The sequence below is a fragment of the Homo sapiens genome, chromosome 1 (assembly GCF_000001405.40).
Source record: "Homo sapiens chromosome 1, GRCh38.p14 Primary Assembly".
Taxonomy (NCBI): Eukaryota; Metazoa; Chordata; class Mammalia; order Primates; family Hominidae; genus Homo; species Homo sapiens.
In genome coordinates this window covers 17,254,871-17,278,500 of record NC_000001.11, presented here as the reverse complement: position 1 = coordinate 17,278,500, position 23,630 = coordinate 17,254,871, and the positions used below count along the sequence as shown (strand labels likewise).

Sequence of the window (23,630 nt, the reverse complement as noted above, 5' to 3'; positions counted from 1 at the left end):
ATCCCATACTTTGGGAGGCCAAGACAGACAGATCACTTGAGCTCAGGAGTTCAAGACCAGCCTGGGCAACACGGTGAGACTCCATCTCTACAAAAAATACAAAAAATTAGCCAGGCGTGGTGGTGCATGCCTGTGGTCCTAGCTACTCGCAAGGCTGCGGTGGGAGACTCGCTTAAGTCTGGGAGGTCGAGGCTGCAGTGAGCTGAGATCATGTCACTGCACTCCAGCCTGGCTGATAGACCCTGTCTCAAAAAAGAAGAAAAGAAAATGCCAGCTCCTTGTTTAAAGAGCAGACAAAAGAGTACCATTAAAAGTGCTACAGTATAAAGTTGTTTCTTTGTCCCCGAGTCTCTCTCCTGACTTGTCAGGGTGGTTTTTATTTGCTATTTCACATTGCGCTTTGCCGGGGACTTGCATGGGGCTGGACAGTCCCTTGCTGGTGTCAGGGCCCACCCTGTGGGCCTCACAGCGGAGGCCTAGCTCCCAGGGGGCTGTGCTTGGGCATGCCTCTGCTATGAGACCCACATGCTGTGCCCTGGAACGGGGCTGGCAGGTCCAGTTTGGCATCTCTCATTCCCACAGGACTGCCACCCCAAGCCAAGGCAAATGGGCGACCTCCAGAGTATTGTGGCCTCTGGGTATGTGCTGGGTACCTGAGCAAGCCTGGGTGAGACACTTACCCCTCCCAAGTTGCCCACCAAATGCCCTTGCAGGGCAGGGACGACTGATGCCATGAAGATGCTGAGTGGCACATGTGCCCAACCCCAGCCCTCCCCATGCCCAGGCTCCTGCTGGGGGCAGAGTGCTGCAGCATCTCAGGACAGTGACAGAGATGGGGGAGGCCTTGCACTGAGGCTCCAGGGAGCACAGAAGTAGGCAGCAGAGAATCTGTGCCAGGGAGGCAGGGAGGCTGGGAGACAGGACTGTGCCTGAGCAGAGGCTCCAAGCCCCGTAGATGCTCCACTGATCCATCAGACCTCACAAAACAGAATTAAGATTTCAGGGCAGCCAGGTGTGGTGGCTCACGCCTGTAATCCCAGCACTTTGAGAGGCCGAGGCGGGCTGATCACCTGAGGTCAGGAGTTCGAGACCAGCCTGACCAACATGGAGAAACCCCCGTCTCTACTAAAAACACAAAATTAGCCGGGCGTGGTGGCGCATGCCTGTAATCCCAGCTACTCAGGAGGCTGAGGCAGGAGAATCGCTTGAACTTGGGAGGCGGAGGTTGCGGTGAGTGGAGATCACGCCATTGCACTCCAGCCTGGGCAACAAGAGTGAAACTCCGTCTCAAAAAGGAAAAAAAAAAAAGGGAGATTTCAGGATAGTGACTGCAGAACATTAAAGCTCCACGCCGTGACTGCACTGGTCACCTGCCTGGGAAGCCACTATGTCCCCGCTCAGTCCATGTCCACCTTCTATCACCCCGCTTCCCACCTCAGCTCGGCCCCAGCTGTGGGCAGTGGTGTCTGGTGAAGCAAGGTGTGCAGGGGCAGGAGTGAGAAGCCCTGAATTTGGGGACACACCCCTGCTTTAAAACTTGCCCTCCCCCTCTCAAGCCATGATGTGTCTTAATTTGGGTAAGGGGCAGGCAAGCCGCAAGGAGGGACACGGCACTGTTACCCACCAACAACCCCCTGGAACAGGAGGGCCCTCCCGTGGCCACACTTCTGCTTTTCCTGGAAGAGCTTGAAGCAGGCCCCAGGGCTGGCCAGGAGCATCCGGAAGCCCTGCGTGCAGAGAACAGATTCAGCTGAGCCTCCTGCCTTGGCATGGCGCCCTGGAGCTCAGTTCTTGCCCCAGATGCCAGGGAAAGACACGTCATGCACGAAGTTCTTACCTTCCCATCGGGGGCAGGGACAAAGCTCAGAAACTCATCCACATGGCCCACGGCCAACCAGTCCACAAAGAGCTCCACGGGGGGCTGCACCTTCTGGGCATGGAGGAAGTCCCGCACCACCTGGGTGACCCTGCGGCCACTTGACCTGGGACCCACGAGGTTAAAAAAAAAGTTGCTTAACTAAAAAGACTCCATGCAGAAATAAAATGACAAGAGTTTAGCATTCCTGCAATATCTGATTTTTAAAAAACAAAAAAACATGCATTACTTTTATAAACAGGAAAGTAATAAATATGTATATTTCATTTTATTTATTTATTTATTTTTGAGATGGAATCTCACTCTGTCACTCAGGCTGGAGTGCAGTGGCGTGATCTCGCCTCATTGCAACTTCCGCCTCCCAGGTTCAAGGGATTCTCCTGCCTCAGCCTCCCAAGCAACTGGGATTACAGGCGTGCACCACCAGGCCAGGCTAATTTTTCTGTATTTTTACTAGAGATGGGGTTTCACCATGTTGGCCAGGCTGGTCTCGAACTCCTGACCTCAAGTGATCTGCCCGCCTCAGCCTCACAAAGTGCTGGGATTACAGGGATGAGCCACTGCACCCAGCCAGATACGTATATTTTAAAATTCCACTTAGGGTGAGTTCTGCATGAGGCAGACTCAGGACAGGTCAGTCACACCAGGGCAATGACCTACCAGGTCCCACCATCCAGGAAAATCTTCAGAACCACCCTCACACCAGGTTCTTATTCTCCAAGAGACAGATTTCACCCCCATGTTCAATTTTTACGAAAATGTATCTAAGGGCATGGTCCAGCTTCCTCTTTCAATGGGATTATGTATTTGAGGGCAGTAGTCCCTTCCAAAGCTTGACTCTGGATTCATTCATTATTTGATCCCAAGTCTGTTCTAACAGCTTTGTTGCATTTGGTTAGCTCAATGTCTTGGTCTAGTCCACAGCAAGTAACCAATATGATAGGATTCCTTTTCCATCAGCACCCCTGTGTCACTACTGAACAACACATCATTTGTTACTCTCTCTGTATGTTATTGTCATTTCACTTAGCATGTCTTGTACCTCACTTCTCTTGCTCTCAGGAAAAGATCTTATATTAGTCATTTACATGGTAGTATGAACAAGCTTTGACCTAAATGCATTTTCTCCCAGGACTGTTGGGAATGGAAACTTTTTCTTTGTTACTTTTTTTTTTTTTTTTTTTTTTTGAGACGGAGTCTCGCTCTGTCGCCCAGGCTGGAGTGCAGTGGCATGATCTCAGCTCACTGCAAGCTCCACCTCCTGGGTTCATGCCATTCTCCTGCCTCAGCCTCCTGAGTAGCTGGGACTACAGGCGCCTGCCACCACGCCTGGCTAATTTTTTTTTTTTTTTTAGTAGAGACGGAGTTTCACCATGTTAGCCAGGATGGTCTCGATCTCCTGATCTCATGATCCGCCTGCCTTGGCCTCCCAAAGTGCTGGGATTACGGCATGAACCACCATGCCCACTCTTCTTCTGTTACTATTAATTGACTGTTACTAGTATCATCTATTTATTTTCAGAATCAGAAAACTTGAGTCTAGTTATAACTTTGCTTTCTATGTGACTCACTTACCCTCTCTGGGCCCACTTGTAAAATGAAAGTGTTGGACTGAATGATCTCTTAGGTCTCTGCTCTCTCTGGTTTCAGAGTCCCCGAGGTAAGTGTGGACTGTGTCTGGTGAACACCCACCAACCCCAGCACATCCGGGAGTATAATTTCATCATTCCTTGCTTCTGGCTCTCTTCAAGGAGTGCAATGGCCCCTGCTCCACCATCATCACCACCCCCAACCCTCAGCCTCCACCCCAGGAACTCCATTCCCTGTCTCTCTCTCACCCAGGCAGGTTGCCCCCAATGAGGATCCTCCCCAGGGGGTACTCTTTCCCATTGGCCACCACTGGAGGGCTGACCTCCAGGTTCCCAAAGGAGTCCAGGCCACTCACAGACCTGTCGCGTGGTTCCCGAGTCACGTAACCAAAATCTGGACCCTGGAGAGGGAAACCAAGTCAGGCGGGGGTGGAGGGTACCAGGAAGGGCCTGAACCAACTTGCTGGGCTTTGAGCTCCTTCAAGACAGGGTGGGAAAGGCCATCCATTCTTCAGGTGGAAATACAGAGTCATTGGCGGTGGGTGGGGGATCTGACCCAGTCAATATTTCATGCACGCATAGCAGGCAAAGTCGGGAAGTGCTCGGACTCTCTGGCCCTGCTGCCTTATCACGGCAAGACAGCAGGGGGCGCTCCGGTTGCTCCTGCACTCCCCATCGGACATGGAGCCTGAGGCCATGGCCACTCCATCCCCTTACCTACACAGCCTTCCTGCAAGTTCAGCCCAAGGGCAAGTAGCAGCTCAAGTGGCCAATTGTGGGAACCAAGAGGCTGCTGATGGCCCTCTGGGCCTCTGTCTTTGAACTCTAGAGAAGGGGAGACCTCCCCAGGGCTATCTCTCAGAAGCAACTTCGACAACATCAAGGGTCAGGAGAGAGAGCTCCTAGCATCTGTGTGATCAGTGAGGGGGTTGGAGGGGTCTCTTGTTCTTTACGGCACCAGGCAAGTCACTCTTGTTTTCTCAAGAGGTCCTCGTTAGCAATCATCACCTTCCCTGTTATCCTTTTTCTTAAAATAATGATACTAGCTAATAGTGGTGCGCGCACACACACTCCCTCCATGCAGGTACTGTGATGATGAGATGCTTCACAAACCCCTGTGAGGCCAGGGCCAAAATGTCATTTTTACTGATGAGGAAACTGAGGCTCAGAGAGCGGTAGTAACTCACGCAACATCACACAGCATGTAAGTAACGGAACAGGGTTGGTCTGACCCTAAAGCTTGTGCTCTGAACAGGTGCACCATCCTGCCTCCCCTATTTAGGGCTGCCAGATTCAGTAAATAAAAATACAGGATGCCCAATTAACTTTGAATTTTAGATAAACGACAACTTTTTTAGTGTAAGTATATCCCATGCAATATTTGGGACGTACTTACACCAAAAAGTTAACCTGTTGCTTGTCTGAAATTCACATTTGACTGGGCATCCCTGCATTTTATCTGGCAACCCTACCCTCATCCCTAAAGAGCACGGTTCCCACTGCTGCCCTCTGTACCCCACACCCCGGTGTGGCCCCTGGGGTAAGGCCTCTCAGCTCTCAGGGGTGGGCTGCGGCCGGGACCACTCACCAGGATTCTTTTGTAAGGGAAATCCTGCAGTTCCCCATTCCTTGGGGAGTCAAAGACCACCGGGAGGGTCTTGTGCGGCGCCTGAACGTAGCCCAGCTCCATCTCATCCTGCAAGTGAGGAGAGGCGAGAGACGCACAGCTGTGACAGTCAACAGCTGCCCCTGCTGGCTCGGCTCTGAGCCCTGTGGGGCAGACTGCTCACCAAGTCCCCTGGCCCAAGCATGTTTTGTGCTTGGAGGCGGACAGGACCGAGGTCAGGGTGCCTGCTGACTGGAGGAGGGGCTGGAGGCTCAAGGAGGGGGTGCACTTGTCTAAGGTCACACAGCAAGACAGAGGCCGGAGGTGAACGAGAACATGGACATGACCTTGGGGGTGTCCCTGTGAGTACTGGGCCAAGGCAGGTGGACACAGAGAAGCACTCACAGTGGCCTGAGTTGGATCCATAAATGTGCCCAGGTCAGTCCTGACCCCTCTGGTTCTGGAGGAAAAGATGGCCCAGTGTGAATGAACTTCACATCCAGGTCCTGCCCTAAACTCTTTATAAACATTAACTCCATTCATCCTCATGACATGCCTGGGCGTGGGCACCATAATTATCCCATGTGACAGATGAGGAAAATGAGGAACTAAGAGGTCTAATTATTTATCCAGTCCGGGCACGGTGGCTCACACCTATAATCCCAGCACTTTGGGAGGGTGAGGCGGGAGGATTGCTTGAGGCCAGGAGTTTGAGACAACCCTGGGCAACATGGCAAGACCCCATCTCTACAAAAAATTAGCTGAGCCTGGTGGCTGCACCTGTGGTCTCAGCTACTCGGGAGACTGAGGCAGAAGGATCACTTGAACCCAGGAGTTCCAGGCTGCCAGTGAGCTGTGATCATGCCATGGCACTCCAACCAGGGTGACAGAGAGACACTGTCTCCAAAAAGAAAAATAAATTCAAAATATATTAATTTAAAAAAATAAATAAAAATTAAAAAATATTTGTCCCAAAGCTCACAGCTAGTTAGTTGGTGGCACAGCCAGGCTCTAAACCCAGCCCATCGTGCCCCAGAGTCCTGCCCCAAACCCTCTCACTGGACTGACCTCCGGCCAAGAGGAAAGCTCCTTAACTTGGAATTCAAGGTCTCCGACCTCAACCCTTGCCTTTCTCAGAACCAGTGCCCTGACAGAGGAGAACACACAAGGTTCTCTCTCCTGCCTCCCACCCCCGGGCCTTTGCGCATGCTCGGTCTCTGCCAGGACCACCAACCTGTACAGCCTGGTGCTTGGCAGCCTGAGTCCTAGCACTGCCTTTACCAGCTCTGTGGCCCAGTCATGCTCCCCTAAGAGCTCCTGAATTATGGGGGACTTACAGGGGGTTATCAAGAAGATGAAATGATGCTATGCCTGGCCTGCAGAAAATGGGGCATAAATGGCAGAAGTCATGTGCCCTCATCTGCCAAATCTGGTCCAGCTCAGATGCTCTCCCTCCTGGAGGTCTTCACTGATTCCCTGGGCAGAGGTGATGCTGCATCCCCCAAACCCTACTGGTGCTTTGCTGGTATAGCCTCTGCACCCTAGATATTTCTTTTTCTCTCTCTCTCTCTCTCTTTTTTTTTTTTTTTTTTTGTTGTTGTTGCTGAGGCTGGAGTGCAGTGGCACAATCACAGCTCTCTGCAGCCTTGACCTTCCTAAACTCAGGTGATCCTCTGACCTCAGCCTCCAGAGTAGCTGGGACTACAGACACACGCCACCATGCCCTGCTAATTTTTTAACTTTTTTGCAGAGACAGGGTTTCACCATGTTGCCCCAGCTACACACTAGATAGTAGGAGTAGGTATTTTTGTAGCAATCATTCTGCACATCAAGGTTTCTCAGCCTCGACACTACTGAGGCGTGGGACTGGATGATATGTTATTGTGGGGGCTTGTCCTGCGCACTGTCTGCAGATACTGCAAAACGTCTCCTGGGGACACATCGCCTCTTGATGAGAACCACTGGTCTCAGCTGTTGAGGGCAGGGAGTGTGTGTCTCACACCTGTGCCACCCCTGTGGGCCTAGCCTAGTGCCTAGCCCAGATCCGGTGGGTGAATGGGTGTTGAATCCAGGATCAGCGTGGGTCTCCAGAAGGTTCTGGAGAGAAGCCTCTAGGTCTCACATTAGAAACGGCAGCAAGTTCCCTGGGGAGCACCCAGGTCCTCCTGGATGTTTCTCGGTGGCCCCCAAATGAAGGCCTCTCTCTCCAGGATGGCGTCCTTGCTGGGCCCTGCCCAGTGGCTGTGGTTACCTGGATCCAGCGGTCGTTGCGGTTCTCGGCCTGTGGGCAGATGGTCAGCTTGCAGCCGGCCTTCCTGGCCAGCTCTGCCACCGCATCCACAAAACACGTGTTGTTCCTCACACTACGGACAAGCCCAGGGAAGAGGGGCTCAGGATGGAGCCGGGGCCTGGGGGCCAGAGGGACCACCCACTGCCCCAAGACTCACCGGCACACATACACCTCTAGGGGTGGCAGAGTGCTGGGCGTCATGATCCAGGGTGCCACTCGGAACACCACAGTGTCAGTGAAGATAGGGGATGCCGAGAAATCCTGCAGGGGCAGACCAGGGGAGAAAGAGCACTGGACTTGGAGTCCAGAGGCCTGGGGGGACTCTGATTCCACCACTGTGGTCCATAAGAAAACCCCTTGCTTCTCTGCAAGATGGAAATGAACCAGAGGGGTGGTCAAGAAGTCTGGGGTCTTTCACACCAGTGGTGCCTGGTAGACTTACCAGGAATGGAGTCCTCCCCACTGCCCTTTATTATTATTATTTTTTGGAGACAGGGTCTTACTTTGTTGCCCAGGCTGTGGAGTGCAGTGGGGTGATCATGGCTCACTGCAACCTCAACCTCCCTGGGGTTCAGGTGATCCTCCCACCTCAGCCTCCCAAGTAACTGGGACTATAGGTGTACACCACTATACCTCGCTATTTTTTTTTTTTTTGTAGAGATGGGGTTTCACCATGTTGCCCAGGCTGGTCCCGAGTGGAGCTCCTCTTGAACCCCCTCTGTCCCTACCTCGTTGGAGTCGTCCAGCAGAGTGACATGGAAGGAGATGAGTCCTGTGAAGCCGGCATCAGGGAAGGACAGGCCTTCCACGAAGAAGCGCTCCTCATCCCCATGCAAGCGGGGTACCTCATAGGACACCTTATCTTGGCCCAGCACATGCCTATAGGCCTCACACACATCCTCAGGACCTGGAAGGGGAGGGACGGGGTGGCTGTGACTCCCTGTGGGCCCAGGGAGCATGAGTATGAGGGACACAGGAAGAGGTCTGCAGCCTCACCAAAAATTCCAAGTCCTCCAACAACTCCCTCCTTTCACCTCCACTGGCAAAGGAGAGGACAGGTAATACACAGTGGGGGCCACGGCTGGGGGAAAGGGTCTTCCTTTCTAAGACTGGCGCTCATACCTTTTTGGAGCACAATTTGGCAGCATCCAACAAAGTAATGTTTACCCCAAGCCCAGCAATTCCACTGCTAGGTATCTTTCCTACAAAAATACATCTACAGGCTGGGCACGGTGGCTCATGTCTGTAATCACAGCACTTTGGGAGACCGAAGGCGGTGGATCACCTGAAGTTAGGAGTTCAAGACCAGCCTGGCTAACATAGTGAAACCCTGTCTCTACTAAAAATACAAAAATTAGCCGGGCGGTGGTGGTGCACACCTATAATCCCAGCTACTCAGGAGGCTTAGGCAGGAGGATTGCTTGAACCCAGGAGGCGGAGGTTGCAGTGAGCCAAGATCACACCACTGCACTCCAGCCTGGGCATGGAGCGAGAATCCATCTCAAAAAAAACCAAAACCAACAAAAAACAAAACAACAACAACAAACAAACAATAATAGGTACAAAGTCACATAATATTTCTGTACAAGAGTGCTCGATATTCATTAATTCATCAAATATTTACTGTGCAACTACAGTGCACCCATGGGGCACGGTTCTGGACTTGAACAAAGCCCCTGACCTCAAGCAACCTGCATTGTTATAAAATCAAAACACTGCAAACCACTATGATGTTCAGAGAACTGTGTAAGTCACAGCACCTCTATGCTTAGGAATATTATACAGCAGTGGAAAAGAATGAAGTAGAGCTCAATAAATACCAGAAAAGGTGTGTGGGATTATTACTTAATGAAAGAAGCCGGTTGGAAAGCAGCATATGGACACACGCTGGAGAACATGTAGAATAAAGTTGGGAAGCACACATCCCAACTCGTTAACAGTGACAATCAGATTCAGGCCAGGTGCGGCGTCTCACGCCTATAATCCTAGTACTTTGAGAGGCCAAAGCGGGTGGATTGCTTGAGCCCAGGAGTTCACGACCAGCCTGGGCAGCATGGTGAAACCCTGTCTTTACAAAAAAAAAAAAATTAGCAGGGTGTGGTGGTACATGCCTGTAGTCCCAGCTACTCGTGAGGCTAAGGTGGAAGGATTGCTTGAGCCTGAAAGGTGGAGGCTGCAGTGAGCTGAGATCATGCCACTGCACTCCAGCCCGGGCAACAGAGCAAGACCTTGACTCAAAAAAAAAAAAAAAAAGTCAGATTTAGAGACGGGTAGAGAACTCTCAGGTTTCATTTTCTATACTTCCATATTGTCTGATTATTTAAAAAATAAGCGGCCAGGCACGGTGGCTCACGCCTATAATCCCAGCACTTTGGGAGGCCGAGGCGGGCAGATCACAAGGTCAGGAGATTGAGACCATCCTGGCTAAGACAATGAAACCCTGTCTCTACTAAAAATACAAAAAATTAGCTGGGTGTGGTGGCACATGCCTGCAGTCACAGCTACTTGGGAGGCTGAGGCAGGAGAATCGCCAGAACCCAGGAGGTGGAGGTTGCAGTGACCCGAGGTCACGCCACTGTACTCCAGCCTGAGCAACAGAGCGAGACTCTGTCTCAAAAAAAAAAAAAAAAAAAAAAAAAAAGCATCTTATTACTTGTATACATTTTTAGTTTCTCAAAGGCATTTAGATTTTTACTTGTATTTCTTGTGATTTTGGCAGACTATGTAAAACAACAGCCATCTATATTTGGGGGGAATACAAACTGAATTAATTGGGTGAAATCTATGGTGTTTGGGGTTGGTTTTACAAAACTTCAGCGAGACAGACAAAACAGTGATAATTGTTTAATCTGAGTGACAGGCACATGGGGATTCACAGCACTGCTTTTTGTGTATGTTTGAAATTTTTGATAAGAATTTCTACACATGCTTAAAATGTATTTGAAAAGGTCATTCATCAAATAAAATGACCTCAGGCCAGGTGTTGTGCTGGGGGCACCAGTTCATCAGTTCCAAAGCCCCCACTTCTGACTGTTCTTACTGCGACCCGCCACCCACCAGGGCATCTCCCGGAGTGTAAGCAGGACCTGCCCATGGCCCAAGGCAGGAACAGGAGGTTCCCTGGTAGGCAACCTGGCAACAGGGCACAGATGGCAAGGGGCAGTGGCACAAACTCACCGCAGATGTGGAAGACCTGTGCCCGTTTGGCATCATAGCTGGAGGTATGGAGGACAAGTTTGTGGTCATCAAAGAGGGCTGCAGGGCCCTGCGTCCGCAGGACCATGACAGACATGTCTTCCAGGTCTGTGAAGCCAGACAGAGTGGTAGTGACTCAAGGGAGTCCTGGCCCCTGGCCCCTTCCTCTGCTGCCCAGCTCCCTCCCCAGGTCAGTGGGTATCAAGACCTGGGTCTCCCAGCCCTAGCTTTGTGAAAACCCTGGAAGCCATCAAGAACAAACCATGAAGACATCTATGCTCTCCTGGACTCATGTTTCCTCAATTGCCCAGAGAAACATGAAGTGTGGCATAGCCAGCTGGTGTCTGACACACAACAGGTGCTCCAGAGAAGCAAGGAGGGTAAGGCCATGTGGGCGTCGTGCAGGTAAGGGTTCTGGCCTCCATCCCAGCATCACTCCCTGTGACCCTGGACAAGCCCCTCCCTTCTGGAGCCCCAGCATCCCCATGTCCAATGGTGCCCACTTCAGAAGGCAACCGTGGGCATCTCCCGTGGACAGCACCTAGCATACCCTGGAATATTGCAGCTCATTCTCCATGGGGCTGGAATTCAGGACAGATGGACTTAGCAAGAGGTGGGGGAGTCACAGAAATGTAGGCCAGAGGTGCTGAAGGAGGAGGCCCAGATTTGGGGTTGAGAGGGGAGGCCCCAGATCAGACACAGTCTTCAGGGAGTCTCCTGGCTTCTGAGTCTCAGCATCCTCATCTCTAAATTGGGGTGATGATATTGTCCCACTTGGATGATTCAATGAGAATTTGGGGAAAAGGCCTGGCACACAGTAGGTGCTCAAATAATGCTAGCATCCTCTGCTCCCCTGGAGGAAGAGAATGGCGAGGTGGCTCATTTCCAGAGCTTCTGCCCTGGCATGTGAGTGCTCACTGGCCCTAGAGACACTAGGGAGGGGCAGCTGCCAGCCTGAGATGGGTTTTGAGGAGCATCGAGGTGTGTCTGGAGGCTGGCGCTCTCCCCTGGACTCTGGCCTCAGAGTCTCGCCTGTGGGTTGGAACTCCCATGGGGTAACTGAGCAGTGACCCTGGACACCCAGGGACTCAGGCTGCCCCGGCCTCACCTTGCAGGCAGTGCACGTGCTGGTCACAATTGTCCTGGACATCACAGCTCGGATCATCACGGTCACAGTTCACCAGCAAGATGCCGCCATACCCACTGGGCCCCCAGACCCACTGCCGCTGCCAATGACAAAACATAGCCAGTGATGAGGGCTCAGATGAGACCTGTGCCTCCCTACCCAGGAACCCGAGCCTGGCCTGTAACCACCCAACCCTGTGAGGCTAGGTCCACGTTCTCGAAGCACCTCCTTCTCAAGACATGTCAATGGCAATGGCTCTCTGTTGCCCACACCATCCAGTCCAAAGCACAGAGCTGTCTTTCATGGCTATCTGTGATGGGCCTTCAGCCAACATCCTCTTTCTCAATAGGCAACCTGATTATAGGACCACACGCCTCACTCTGTGCTCATTCCTCCATTAAACCCTCCTTGGTTTTGCTCCTGCCATTCCCTGCACCTGGAACGTCCTCCCTCCTGCACCCCTTCAGAGCTCAGCTCAAGGGTACGTCCCTCCAGGAAGCCTTCCTCACCCACCCAGCCCACCTCGACCTTCTCCTCTTAACTCCCAGGGCACCAAGTTCCAACATAATTCAGTCCCAAGTTCTTCAACAGTTTCATATTTGGTTTCTCTTCTCGCCTAGGTCAGGATCAGCACATTATGAACTGTGGGCCAAATCTGGCCTACTGCCTGTTTGTATAAATAAAGTTTTATTAGCACACAGTCACATCCATCCATTTCTGTATTAACTGTGGCTGCTTTCACACTATAGTGGCAGAATTGAGACCATATGTCCCACAAAGCCTAAAATACTTGCTATGTGACTTTTCACGGAAAAAGTTTGCCCACTCCTGACCTAGTTTATGAGTCCAGAAGGTCTTGATCCCACAAACCAAGGCCTAGCTCAGGGCTGGGTACCTCCATGCCTGATAATTCCTGGCGATGATTTTTCTCCTGGTGAAAGAAGATCCCCAGCCATGCCTGGTTTCTGTTTTTGGCCCTTGGTCTCGGCATCAGCTGGGAGGCAGGGGGATATCTGTAATGGCCTCATCCTTCTTAACCCAACCTAGAGCAAGCTCCAACTGCACTCCTGCTTCCTGGGCCCAGGCAGAGATGCTTACCTTGTCTACAAAGTTCCTGTCCTGCCTTCCCTCACAGTTCAGGTCGCAATCCAGAGAGATGTCTGCAAGAGGAGGCAGAGGGTAAGTCACTACAAGGTTCCCAGGAGCCCAGGGCAGGCCTTGATCTCAGGGCTTGTCTGGGGCTGAGCAAAGGCAAGTCATTTCTAAGGAGACACCATCCAAGAGGTGAGGGCATCTGCACCCTCTGGGCTGGGGAAAGAGGCCTGAGGCAAGAAGCAGGGTCACAGCAAAGGCCCAGGACAAATGCTGCCCCCTCTAGGGAGACTTCCCTGACCACTTCCTATCTGCATCCCTGCAGCCCTTGCAGTCCCAGGCATGCCCTGAACTGAGCCCAGGTCTCCAGGAACATTCTTGTCTATATAAAGCTGCCTCATCTCCTTGGAATGGGGTAGCAAGCCTGGACTTTGGTGTCAAACAGATGTGAACACAAACCCAGGTTCTGCCGCCTCCTGGCTGTGTGTCCTTTCTGAGCTACTCGCAGTCCCCAAATCCCACCCCCATCCCACCTTCTTAACATTTAGCCCTAGACACTGGGTGAGATTTCATAATGCAAATGGAGCATTCAGGAGGTCAGAATCAATCTTTCTGCTCTGAAAAAAAAGCAGTCTTCTTAGTTCTTAAAGAAGAAGCAGTGAGGGGCAGGGAGGGAGAGAAGAAAGAATACATTAGATAGGATTTTTTTTTTTTTTTGAGACAAGACAGGGTCTCTGTCGCCCAGGCTGGAGTGCAGTGGCATGATCATGGCTCACTGCAACCTCTGCCTCCTGGGCTCAAGTAATCCTCCCACTTCAGCCTCCTGAGGCTGGGACTACTGGTGCATGCCACCATGCCCAACTAATTTTTGTATCTTTCATAGAGGCAGGATTTCACCATGTTGCCTAGGCTGGTCTTGAACTACTGGGCTCAAGTGATCCACCCACCCCAGCCTCCCAAAGTGCTGGGATTACAAGCATGAGCCACCACGCGTGGCCTGAAATGATTTTTAAACATGTGAAAAGATACTCAACCACCATGCAACAAGTGGATAAATCTCACAAACATAGCATAGGGCAAAAGACGCCCAACGCAAAAGAACATACATGATATGACTGCATCCACAGAAAATCAGATGATAAAATGAGACCATGTTATTTGGGTATTGCGTTCAAGAGATAAAACCATGAGGAGAAGCAAGAAAATACTTATCACAAGATAGTGGTTACCTGTAGGAGAAGGAGGGAGTTATGATCAGAGACGGACATTGAGGGGGACTTTGGGGTTCTGGTAGTGTTTCATTTCTTGGGCTACTCTTGGGTTTATTTTCTGAGCTATTCTTTGATTTGCTTTGTAATTATTCGTGTGTGTGTGTGTGTGTGTGTGTGTGTGTGTACATATGCTTTATGCACATATGTATGTAAAATAAAGCTTTATGTACTTTTCTGTCTATGTTATTTTCCAATGATCATGTGTGTATGTATTTGGGCTGCAGATGGGGAATGCCCAACCTCACTCCTAACTAAAGAAAGGCAAAGTAAAACCACAGTGCAATGCCAACTGATTGGCAAAAAGGGAAAAAGTTGCTAATGCAGTGTTGGCAAAGCATATATGCAGTTGGCAGACATGTATACTGATACAGTGTTTTTGGAGAGCAGTTTGGCAATATCTATCAAGTTAAAAAATATAGATTCTCTATAACCTAGAAGTTCTGCTTCTAAAAAATGCCTCCTACAGATAAAGCATTTTCAACTTCTTTGCTAATTGCTTCTCAAGTGTGTGAGCCAAAGCAAACTCCCACCCACTCCTTTGTAAGGAGTTTCCCAGCTCCACAACCTTGGCAATGCTCATTTAGGCATCTTTTAATTTGGGTTTTGATCACTGGGACTTTCTCTTCTGTGAATTGTTTATTCATGTTTTTGCCCATTTCTATTATTTTTGTCCTTTTCTTATTGATTGGAGTTCTTCATATTCTATATGCACCAAGTCAGCCGTATGCATTGCAGATTTCTTCTCCTAGTTCACAGTTTGACTTTTTACTTGTTGTCTGTTGCATATAAATTTTTAATTTTAATACAGTCTAATTTAGCAATCTTTCCCCTTATGGTCTTTGCACTTTTGTTTTGCCTTGTTAAAGAAAATCTTTACTATTTTGAGGGTACAAAGATATTCTTTTCTAAAAGCTTTACAATTTTGATTTTCACCTTAAGATTTTTAACTGACTTGAAGTTTATTTTTGAGTATGGTGTGAGGTAGGGCTCCAAGTTCATTTATTGCCACATGATAACCACACAAGCATGGGTCTGTCTATGGGTTCTCTATTTGCTCTATTGCTCTATACCAATTTCACAATGCCTCAAGTACTATAGCTTGAAAAAAAAGTCTTGATATTTGGAATTGTGAATCCCTCAACCTTATTCTTCATCAAAATTGTCTTAGCTATTCTTGACCTTTGCTTTTCCATACAAATTTTAGGATCAGCTCTGTAAAGTTATATTAAAAAGCCATGTTGGGGCTGGGCACAGTGGCTCATGCCTGTAATCCCAGCACTTTGGGATGCCGAGGCAGGCAGATCATCTGAGGTCAGGAGTTCAAGACCAGCCTGGCCAACATGGAGAAACCCTGTCTCTACTAAAAATACAAAAGTAGCTGGGCGTGGAGGCATGTGTCTGTAATTGCAGCTACTCAGGAGGCTGAGGTAGGAGAATCGTTTGAACCCAGGAGGCGGAGGTTGCGGTGAGCTGAGATTGTGCCATTGCACTCCAGCCTGGGCAACAAGAGCAAAACTCCTTAAAACAAACAAACAAACAAACAAAAAAGCCACGTTGGAATTTCTATAGGAATTTCATTGAATTTAGACTGTTTGATACTGTCACAGAGCTCTTAGATCTGTTATGTTTTTTCATTTGTTTGTTTTATTCTTTTTTCTCTTTGGGTTTCAGTTTGGGTAACTTTTATTCACTTATCTTCAAGTTCACTGATTCTTTCCTCAGCTGTGTCAAGTCTACTGGTGAAACCTTCAAAAGCATTTTTAAAATCTCTTATTACTATGGTTTTTATGTCTAGCATTTCCATTTGACTCTTTCTTATTGATTTTCTTCTCTGTTGAAATTCCCCATCTGTTCATACATATTGTCTACCTTTTCCACTAGAACCCTTAACATATTAATCACTATTACTTTGCATGCCCTGTCTGATAGCTCCAACATCTGAGCCATCTTGCACGGAGTTTATGTATCCATTTGTGGAGGCTTAGCAGAAAAACTTTAAGCTGGCAAAAGCAAGGTCCAGTTCCATGTCTATAGTATGCTTCAATTTGCTTACAAAAGAGGGGGGATATACAGGTATGTATGTGCTTTCATATATAAGCACAGCGTATCTCTAGAAAAATGCTGGGTTTGGGGAACTAGAAGTCTTGAGTTGGAGGGAAGGAGGTTTAATTTTCAACGTATACTCTTTTGTACTGCTTGAATTTTTCAAATGTGCCCTTGGCCACACCATCAACATGGCCCCCAACTTACCAACACAGGTGAGGTAGAGCACCGCATAGGCCAGGGGCAGAGGCTCATGGCTGGAGTGGTAGGAAATCTGAACCTGTGGAGAGTTGGGCGCAGAGTAATACCAGCAGAAGCCAAGAGCTCCCGCCCCAAAAGATAGCTCTCGGGGATCTGGTAAGGAGGGGAGGGGGCCCAAGGAACCTTGCTCTTTCTTTAACCTCCTCTGTGCCATTTATTTTTCTGTGTCTTGGTTGGCATATCTGTAAAATGGGAGCTATTTGTGAGAGCTTCTCAAGAGACTTGGGTCCCAGTCCCTCCAATAACCTACTCTGTGATTTTTGACAAGCTCTTGCTCCCCTTTGGGTCTCAGTTTTGCCATTTGTAAAATAAAGGGTTTGGGCTGGGCAGGGTTTGGGGACACTCTCCAAGCCAACATTCTTGTCTGTGGGACTCAGACAGGCCCGGGCTTGAGCCCGGCACCTCTGGGTACTCTATGACCTTGGCCAAGGCCTCTCACCTACCTGAGCCACCTCAGTTTTCTCCTCTGCAAAATGGGAAAAGGCCTCTACCTCTATAGGTCTCTACCTCAGAGGCTTGTAATGCAGCTTGGAAACAATACATGTAAAAGACTGAGCCCATAGGAAGTGCCCAAGAAATACTAGCTACTGTTATCAGTGGGCAGGTGGCATCTTGTGGGGTGGGGGCTGGTTAAATGCAGGGCTCTGAGGTCAGATGGCCTGGGCCCAGATTCTGAATCCCCCACTTTTGAATATCCCAGGAAAAGTTACTGATCTTCTCTGGGCCTCAATTTCCTCAACTGTAAAGTGGGGATAATAATAGTTCCTACCCCTTAGGACTAATTAGAGGCTGTGAAGATGAAAGGAGTCATGTATGGGGCACATGCAGCTCGGTGCCCGGCCCACAGCGAGCACTCAAGAACTGTTACAGGGTGAGGATGAAGATGGCGTGGATGATATTTAGTTGGAGGCAGATGAATCCAAGGCATCCAAGTTCCCTTTAAAGCATGACCCTCCCCTTGGGGTATTCCCTCCTGACATGGGTGTCTCAACTCTCTGCTTCTCATGTCCGAATCTCAGCCAGAGGGGAGGATCTTGCAGGGGCCACTCACCTCTGTAGTCCTGGGAGCCCCTAAATCCTGCAATTACTGACCTCCATGTGTCAATCACCAGCAGTGATGCTTGCCTCAAACATACAATTACTGGGATCCTGGCCAAAGGCAGGATAGGGAGCAGGGGTATATGGCGGGTGAGGGAAAGAGTGGGAGAGACTCTGAACTTCCTCCATCCCACCAGCCATCATGGCCAAGGAATTCAAGGTGGGGGTACCCACACCATCGCCACTTCAACCGGCACCAAGGTGGGGCCCCTCACAGGCTGGCCAGTCCTCTTGCACTACCCCTGGGACTCTGTCCTGACTCTCACCAGCTCTGCCGCTCGCTAGATCATGTGACTTCAGGAAAGCCACCCCTTCTCCTTCTTAGTTTTCTTGCCTATTAAATGGGTTCATTGGGTCCTGCCCCAAGTGCCTCATGGATGCATGGCTGGGAACAGAGGTGGGGGTGATGGAGGGAGACTGCCCCCAGGGGTCTGCACTGAATTCTAGCTCTCCTGACCATTAGTGTGCGGTCCCGGGACAGTTACTCTGAACCTCAGTTGCCCCATCTGCGAAATGGGCATCAGTCCCCCACCTCTCTGGGCTGCTGTGAGGGCTGGATGAGGTCATGGCTGCCCAGTACCTGGCACGTGGTCAGTGCTCCTTAAAGGGCCAGTTTCTGAAACATCGCTCCTGACATGGAGTGGATCCCACTACTCCCACACTCCAAGTCCTGGTCCCTATCAGCCCTCGAAGCAAACATCACCTGTGCCAAGCTTAAAGGCCACCCATTTCTCCCATGTGTTAAATGTCCCCTACCCTGCAAATAGGGTCAGGAAGAGAGTGGATTACGGACAGCAAAGCGCCTTGGGGAAATGCTGTCACCTAGGAAGGGGGTCTTCCCAGGCACCGGTGTCCCTCCCCTGTCCCTGCTTTCTCTCTTTCATTCAAAGTGGCAGAGATCCCCTAGTCAACCCTCAGCCTACATGTGGGGAAACTGAGACCCAACTCAGCAGAACTGGGACAACTCCTTCTCCAGGGGGTCTTGGGAAGCAAGAGAAGGAGCAACACTGGCTCCTATGGCACTCCACAGCAATGATAGGAGACAGGGGTTATGATTATCCCATTTTACAGATGGCAGACAGAGGCCCCAAGGGGATGATAAGGCTTTCCAAGGACACATGGTATGTGTCTGTAACTTGCAGAGCTGGGATTCAAAATCAGCAGTATGGCTCCAAGGCCAGGCACTTACCCACTGTGTTGCCCTGCGCTCTGGAGAAAGAGAATGTTGGGCCCTCCTAGAGCTAGACAGCTGCCTCCCTCGAAACCTCTCCCCACCCCACCAGGGACCAGCTCACATGGCTGTCGTTGAGGTCATTGCTGGGGGAGTTCATGACCACGATGATCTCCAAAGTCGCGTCAAAGCGCCACCGCCTGGTGTCTGCACGCTCCCGGCCCCTCTCCATGTTGGGAGAGATGTAGATGTCCACGCCAGGCGTCCCATAGACCTCAAACATTTCTGTGCCCTCAGGCACTGACCTGGGCAGGGCAGAGAGCCATGGTCGGTGCCGAAGGAGATATATTTTGCTCAGATGTTTGAGCTTTGGCTCAAGCCCTGCTTCCTCCAGGAAGCTTTCCTTGGCCACCCAGTCCCCTCAGATCCTCACAGTAAGCTCCTGCGAGTCAAGCCTGGACCCCACACAAACATATACACAGTCGGCCGGGCGTGGTGACTCACTCCTTTAATCCCAGCACTTTGGGAAGCCGAGGCGGATGGATCACTTGAGGTCAGGCACTTTGGGAAGCCGAGGCGGGCGGATCACTTGAGGTCGAGCCTGGCCAACATGGTGAAACCCTGTCTCTACTAAAAATACAAGAAAATAGCCAGGCGTGGTAGCATATGCCTGTAATCCCAGCTACTGGGGAGGCTGAGGCAGGAGAATCGCTTGAACCCAGGAGGCAGAGGTTGCAGTGAGCCAAGATTGCACCACTGCACTCCAGCCTGGGCGACAGAGCAAGACCCTGTTTCAAAACAAAACAAAAAAACATACACACAGTCTGATGTTCTAAGCCCCTGTGTTCATTAACATTTCCCTTGTGAGTTTCTTTACCACTCACCAGAATGGCGAGCTCTTCGGAAGTCAGAAGCCAGCCATGTGCTCGATAAATCCCCAGTGCAGGTCTGGGCACGAAGAGCTCAGTGAACACCAGCCATTGGTGGGTGGAGCCCCTTACAGTTCTGAGAGCTTTAAAAAGAGCAATTCTCACCCCAGATCCCATCACATGTCTCCTTAGTGGGTGGGAAGATATCCTTGAATTCTTCCCTGGGAAGGGAATTCAATCTGGTTGAGTGCCCGCTGCATGCCAGGCACCTGGCGCACGCAGCTCCCTCCACTCTTACAAGCTGTAAGGTGAGCAATATCATCCCCATTTGGCATATTAGCAACTGAGGCTCAAGGAGGCCTCGTGACAAGCCTGAGGTTGCATCACATGGCAGAGCCAGATGTGCAACAGGTCTGACTCCAAGCCCATGCTGTTCCACAGCTCTGCAGTGTCACCCGGGAAACTTGGCCGGATTTGGTCAAACAACCAGAAATTAATTGCAGGTTTAAAGTATCTGTGATGTTATCTGGCCCTGAGATTGCATTTCCCTCATTCCACCTAGCCTGGGGTTCCTCCTTGGAAACCAGACTATGCATCCTTTGACTGTGGGGTGCCCACTGTGCACTCAGGTACTGCCTGGCGGGCAGATCCACCCACTGCTCTCCCCACTGTTGATCCCGCTGGGGAGCTGAGGACCAACATTGTCCAGGGCAGCCAGATGGGGCTCAAGGCCACAGGATCACAGCTCAGTGGGAACCCATGTAGGGAGAGGCCACTGCGAGTTGGAGGGCCTCCTGGAGGCAGCGGCATGCATGCCCCTGGGGGATAACAGTGACTGACACTTACTGAGCTCATGCTGTGTGCCAGCCCATCATGCAATCCTCTCAATAACCCTAGAAGGGAGGCACTATCTATTATTGTCTCCCATTATACAGATGAGAAAGCCGAGGTTAAGTAACTTGCCCAAGGTCTGTGGCCGGGCTGGGATCCAAACCCAGCCATGTGGCTCCTCAGTCCACACTCTTGCCCACCACCTCCCCAGGAGTAATAATAACAACAATACCATAACATAAAAAGCCCCCAGCCTCTGCACTCTTATCACGGCAGGCCTGCCTAAGCCTTTTTGTACATTAGCTCATCTGATCCTCACTGCAGCCCCAGGATGAGATAATTACTCCTGTTTACACATGGGGAAACTGAGGCACAGGATACGTAGGGGACTACCCCAAATTTCCACAGCTGGCCACTCCCCCCGCTTCCCATCTTCCCTCAGAGTAAGGCAGACCTCCCCCAAAACAACCTCTTCACTCTTCCACCAACATGATTCTCTTACATCTCAAAGCAGCTTTTTTATGAAAAGGGAAATAAACCAAGCCCAAGCTTCTCTCCATCAGGCAGGTCCCACTCTGGTGTCTGGGCCCCTGTCAGGTGTCCTCACCAGTTGGGAGGGACAGACACACCTGTTTCTCCTCCTAAGCAGGGCTGCCAGACTTAGCAAATAAAAATACAGAAAGCTCAGTTGGACTTGAATTTCAAGTGAACAGTCAATCATTGTTTGGTACTCCCGTGAAGTATTTGGGATACACTTATACTAAAAAAATTATTAATTATTTACCTGAAATTCAATTTTAACTAGGCATCTTTTATTTTATCTGGCAACCCTACTCCCAAAGCCTGTAATTTCCAGGGCTGGTGGAGCCCTCTGGCCTGTTTGGCCCTGGGCAGCCCCCCACAGGGGAAATGGCAGAACCAGGGAGAGAGGCATGAAGACACAGAGACAGAGAGATAGGGACAGAGAGACTTGGAGAGACCCAGCGAGATGGAGAGTCAGAGACAGGGAGTCGGAAAGAGACACAGGAAGACAAACCCAGGTAGGAAGAGCAGCCTCTCATACCCTCGGGAACACCCTCAGCCACGCTCCTGAGGCACTCGCCTTCCATCTCCCAAGGAAGCCTTTTTTTTTTTTTTTTTTTTTTTTTTTTGAGACAGAGTCTTGCTCTGTCGCCCAGGCTGGAGTGCAGTGGTGCAATCTTGGCTCACTGCAACCTCCACCTCCCGGGTTCAAGCAATTCTCATGCCTCAGCCTCCCAAGCAGCTGGGACAACACAGCCCACCACCGTGTCCGGCTAATTTTTGTATTTTCAGTAGAAACAGGGTTTCACCATATTGGCCAGACTGGTCTTGAACTCCTGACCTCAAGTGATCCGCCTGCCTCAGCCTCCCAGCTGGGATTACAGGCGCGAGCCACCGCGCCTGGCTGAAGCCTGTACACTTTTTATGGAACTCCCTCAACCCCAAAGCTGTTCCTTGGGCCTCCAGTGTCCATGGGCAAGGGCTGAGCGCCCTTGATGGTCCTTCTGGTATGAAAACCCCACTCAGTCCCCAGGCTCCAGCCCCTGGGTGTAGGGTGTTTCAGCCCAGCGCCCCTGCCTCTCCATGTGCCAGGCTCTGTGTGAGATGCTGGGGGATCCCCAGTGAAGACTGAAGCACCCCTGCCCAGGAGGGTCCCCAGGACCACGGTCTGAACAAGGGCTTAGCACAGGTGAACAAGCTACATCTGAGGTTGGGGAAGGGAGGGGCTGCAAGCCGAGGGCTCAGGTGGTGCTGGGACCAGAGTCAAGAATTAGGTTTTAGACCAGGCTGGGTCACACATCGGCCAGCTGAGCTTGACTAAATCACTTAGTCTCTCTGGGCCCATTAACCTCACCTTAAAGTGGGATAATGACACCTACTTGGCCAACCTCATGGGCAATCATGAAACTCAAGTGTGATAATAGACAGGAAAGGCTTGCAACACCATTGGCCCAGGACAGGGAAGGAGTTATTAAAGTAAATGAGGGTGCAGGAAACGGGTCTGGAGGCAGGATGAGACAGTGGGCTGGGTGGCTGGGGCAGGTTCCCCAGGGAAGGCACCAAGAGGAGACACAAGTGAGGGGAAGGTGTTTTCACCGTGGAACCTTAAGAGGTCTAGTTTAGACTCAGGCTATAATGAGCTTGTTTTCATTTCATCCCTATGTAATGGGGAGCCAGCGCTGGTTCTTGATCAGGAGGGGCAACATGATGGAGCCGTGGCAAGGTACTTGAGCCTGTGGTCCCTGGGGCCAGACAACTGGGTTCAAATCCCAGTCCCACCACTCATTAGGTGTGTGACTTTGAGCGAGTGACTGCCTCCCTCAGCCGCAGCATCGACATCTATCTGGTGGGGATGAGGAGAAGATGAAAGGAACCAGTGTGGGTAAAGCACTCAGGATGAGCAAAAGTCATGCCCTCATTTCACTGATGGGGAAACTGAGGCCCAGAAGATAAGTGACTAGAAGGTAGGGCTGCTGACTTCCAGTCCAGTGCTCATGCCTGTCATGAAAGCTGTGTGTTAGGAGAATGAGAGGGGCAGCTGCTGGGAGGAGAACCTGCATCAGGTACGGGAGGATCTAGCTTCCCATTTCCTAGAGAACAGGGGAAGTACCTGGAGCCTCACCTGGACAAAGTCCTTCCTCTCCAGGCCACCTCGAGCTGCCAGCATGGCTGAGCTGTCACATGCTGGCTTCTGGGCTTTCTAGGCAGTGCTTCTGGTCCAGTCCTGGGCTCAGGGCCTTGGACCCTCGCCGCTGAGGCTTCCATGCACAGGCCTGTCCAGGGCTCTCCCAGCCCCACACCCCCCAAGCCAGCCGGAGAACTCAACTGCTCCTCTGGCACAGCCAGCCTAAGATGGTGAGTTGGGGGTAAAATGTGGTAGGGTGGCCAACAGCATCAGTTTGCTGGGACTAAGGCTGTTCCTGGATACAGAATTTGCTGTGCTAAAACCTGCAAGGTCCCAGACAAACAGGAACAGTTGGCCTCCCTAAAAGTAGCCAACCTCAGACCCACCTTATTGAAAATGCAGATTCTTAGAAGTGCTCCAGGTGGGGCCTTGGAACCGCATTTTAAGCCATTCTGATATTTGCTGACATCTGAGAATCACGGCTTAGAGTAGGTTGTCTTAGAAATGCTGGAGCCTGGTGGGCCAGGCGCAGTGGCTCACGCCTATAATCCCAGCACTTTGGGAGGCCGAGGAGGGTGGATCACCTGAGGTCAGGAGTTCGAGACCAGCCTGACCAACATGGAGAAACCACGTCTCCACTAAAAATACAAAACTAGCCGGGCGTG

The 23,630-nt window shown here is 50.8% G+C and overlaps 1 protein-coding gene and 1 non-coding gene across 5 annotated transcripts in view, besides 4 other annotated features; both read right to left on the bottom strand.

Annotated features, from left to right (window-relative positions):
- Positions 1-23,630, bottom strand: part of PADI3 (peptidyl arginine deiminase 3) — a 35,136-nt gene that overhangs the window by 5,733 nt on the left and 5,773 nt on the right. The window contains exons 1-13 of one of the 4 annotated variants that reach the window (XM_011541571.3): positions 19,503-21,255; positions 18,743-18,923; positions 16,296-16,368; positions 12,781-12,842; positions 11,665-11,782; positions 10,539-10,664; positions 8,090-8,268; positions 7,519-7,622; positions 7,323-7,434; positions 5,054-5,161; positions 3,715-3,866; positions 1,838-1,982; positions 1,625-1,727 (exon numbers count right to left, since the gene is read on the bottom strand). In XM_011541571.3, coding sequence (XP_011539873.1) covers positions 1,625-1,727; positions 1,838-1,982; positions 3,715-3,866; positions 5,054-5,161; positions 7,323-7,434; positions 7,519-7,622; positions 8,090-8,268; positions 10,539-10,664; positions 11,665-11,782; positions 12,781-12,842; positions 16,296-16,368; positions 18,743-18,901 — 1,441 coding nt within the window. In that variant the 5' untranslated portion in view covers positions 18,902-18,923; positions 19,503-21,255. Of the gene's footprint in view, positions 1-1,624; positions 1,728-1,837; positions 1,983-3,714; positions 3,867-5,053; positions 5,162-7,322; positions 7,435-7,518; positions 7,623-8,089; positions 8,269-10,538; positions 10,665-11,664; positions 11,783-12,204; positions 12,435-12,780; positions 12,843-16,295; positions 16,369-18,742; positions 18,924-19,502; positions 21,256-23,630 lie in introns of those variants that run through there. The other 3 variants (NM_016233.2, XM_011541572.3, XM_017001463.2) reach the window with 3 other exon arrangements.
- MIR3972 (microRNA 3972) lies at positions 526-612 on the bottom strand. The gene has a single exon (NR_039768.1). It is a non-coding gene; the product is annotated as a microRNA 3972 (primary transcript).
- Positions 4,003-4,504: an enhancer, noted in NCBI's record as "NANOG hESC enhancer chr1:17600492-17600993 (GRCh37/hg19 assembly coordinates)". NCBI's record gives its function as "activates a minimal SCP1, AML or CMV promoter by ChIP-STARR-seq in naive H9 embryonic stem cells {active_cell/tissue: H9 hESC(naive)}" and the evidence as "EXISTENCE:reporter gene assay evidence [ECO:0000049][PMID:30033119]".
- Positions 7,561-7,804: a silencer, noted in NCBI's record as "fragment chr1:17597192-17597435 (GRCh37/hg19 assembly coordinates)". NCBI's record gives its function as "represses an EF-1alpha promoter that drives an FKBP-Casp9 reporter gene in an ReSE screen in K562 erythroleukemia cells {active_cell/tissue: K562}" and the evidence as "EXISTENCE:reporter gene assay evidence [ECO:0000049][PMID:32094911]".
- Positions 18,466-18,965: an enhancer, noted in NCBI's record as "H3K4me1 hESC enhancer chr1:17586031-17586530 (GRCh37/hg19 assembly coordinates)". NCBI's record gives its function as "activates a minimal SCP1, AML or CMV promoter by ChIP-STARR-seq in naive H9 embryonic stem cells {active_cell/tissue: H9 hESC(naive)}" and the evidence as "EXISTENCE:reporter gene assay evidence [ECO:0000049][PMID:30033119]".
- Positions 18,966-19,467: an enhancer, noted in NCBI's record as "H3K4me1 hESC enhancer chr1:17585529-17586030 (GRCh37/hg19 assembly coordinates)". NCBI's record gives its function as "activates a minimal SCP1, AML or CMV promoter by ChIP-STARR-seq in naive H9 embryonic stem cells {active_cell/tissue: H9 hESC(naive)}" and the evidence as "EXISTENCE:reporter gene assay evidence [ECO:0000049][PMID:30033119]".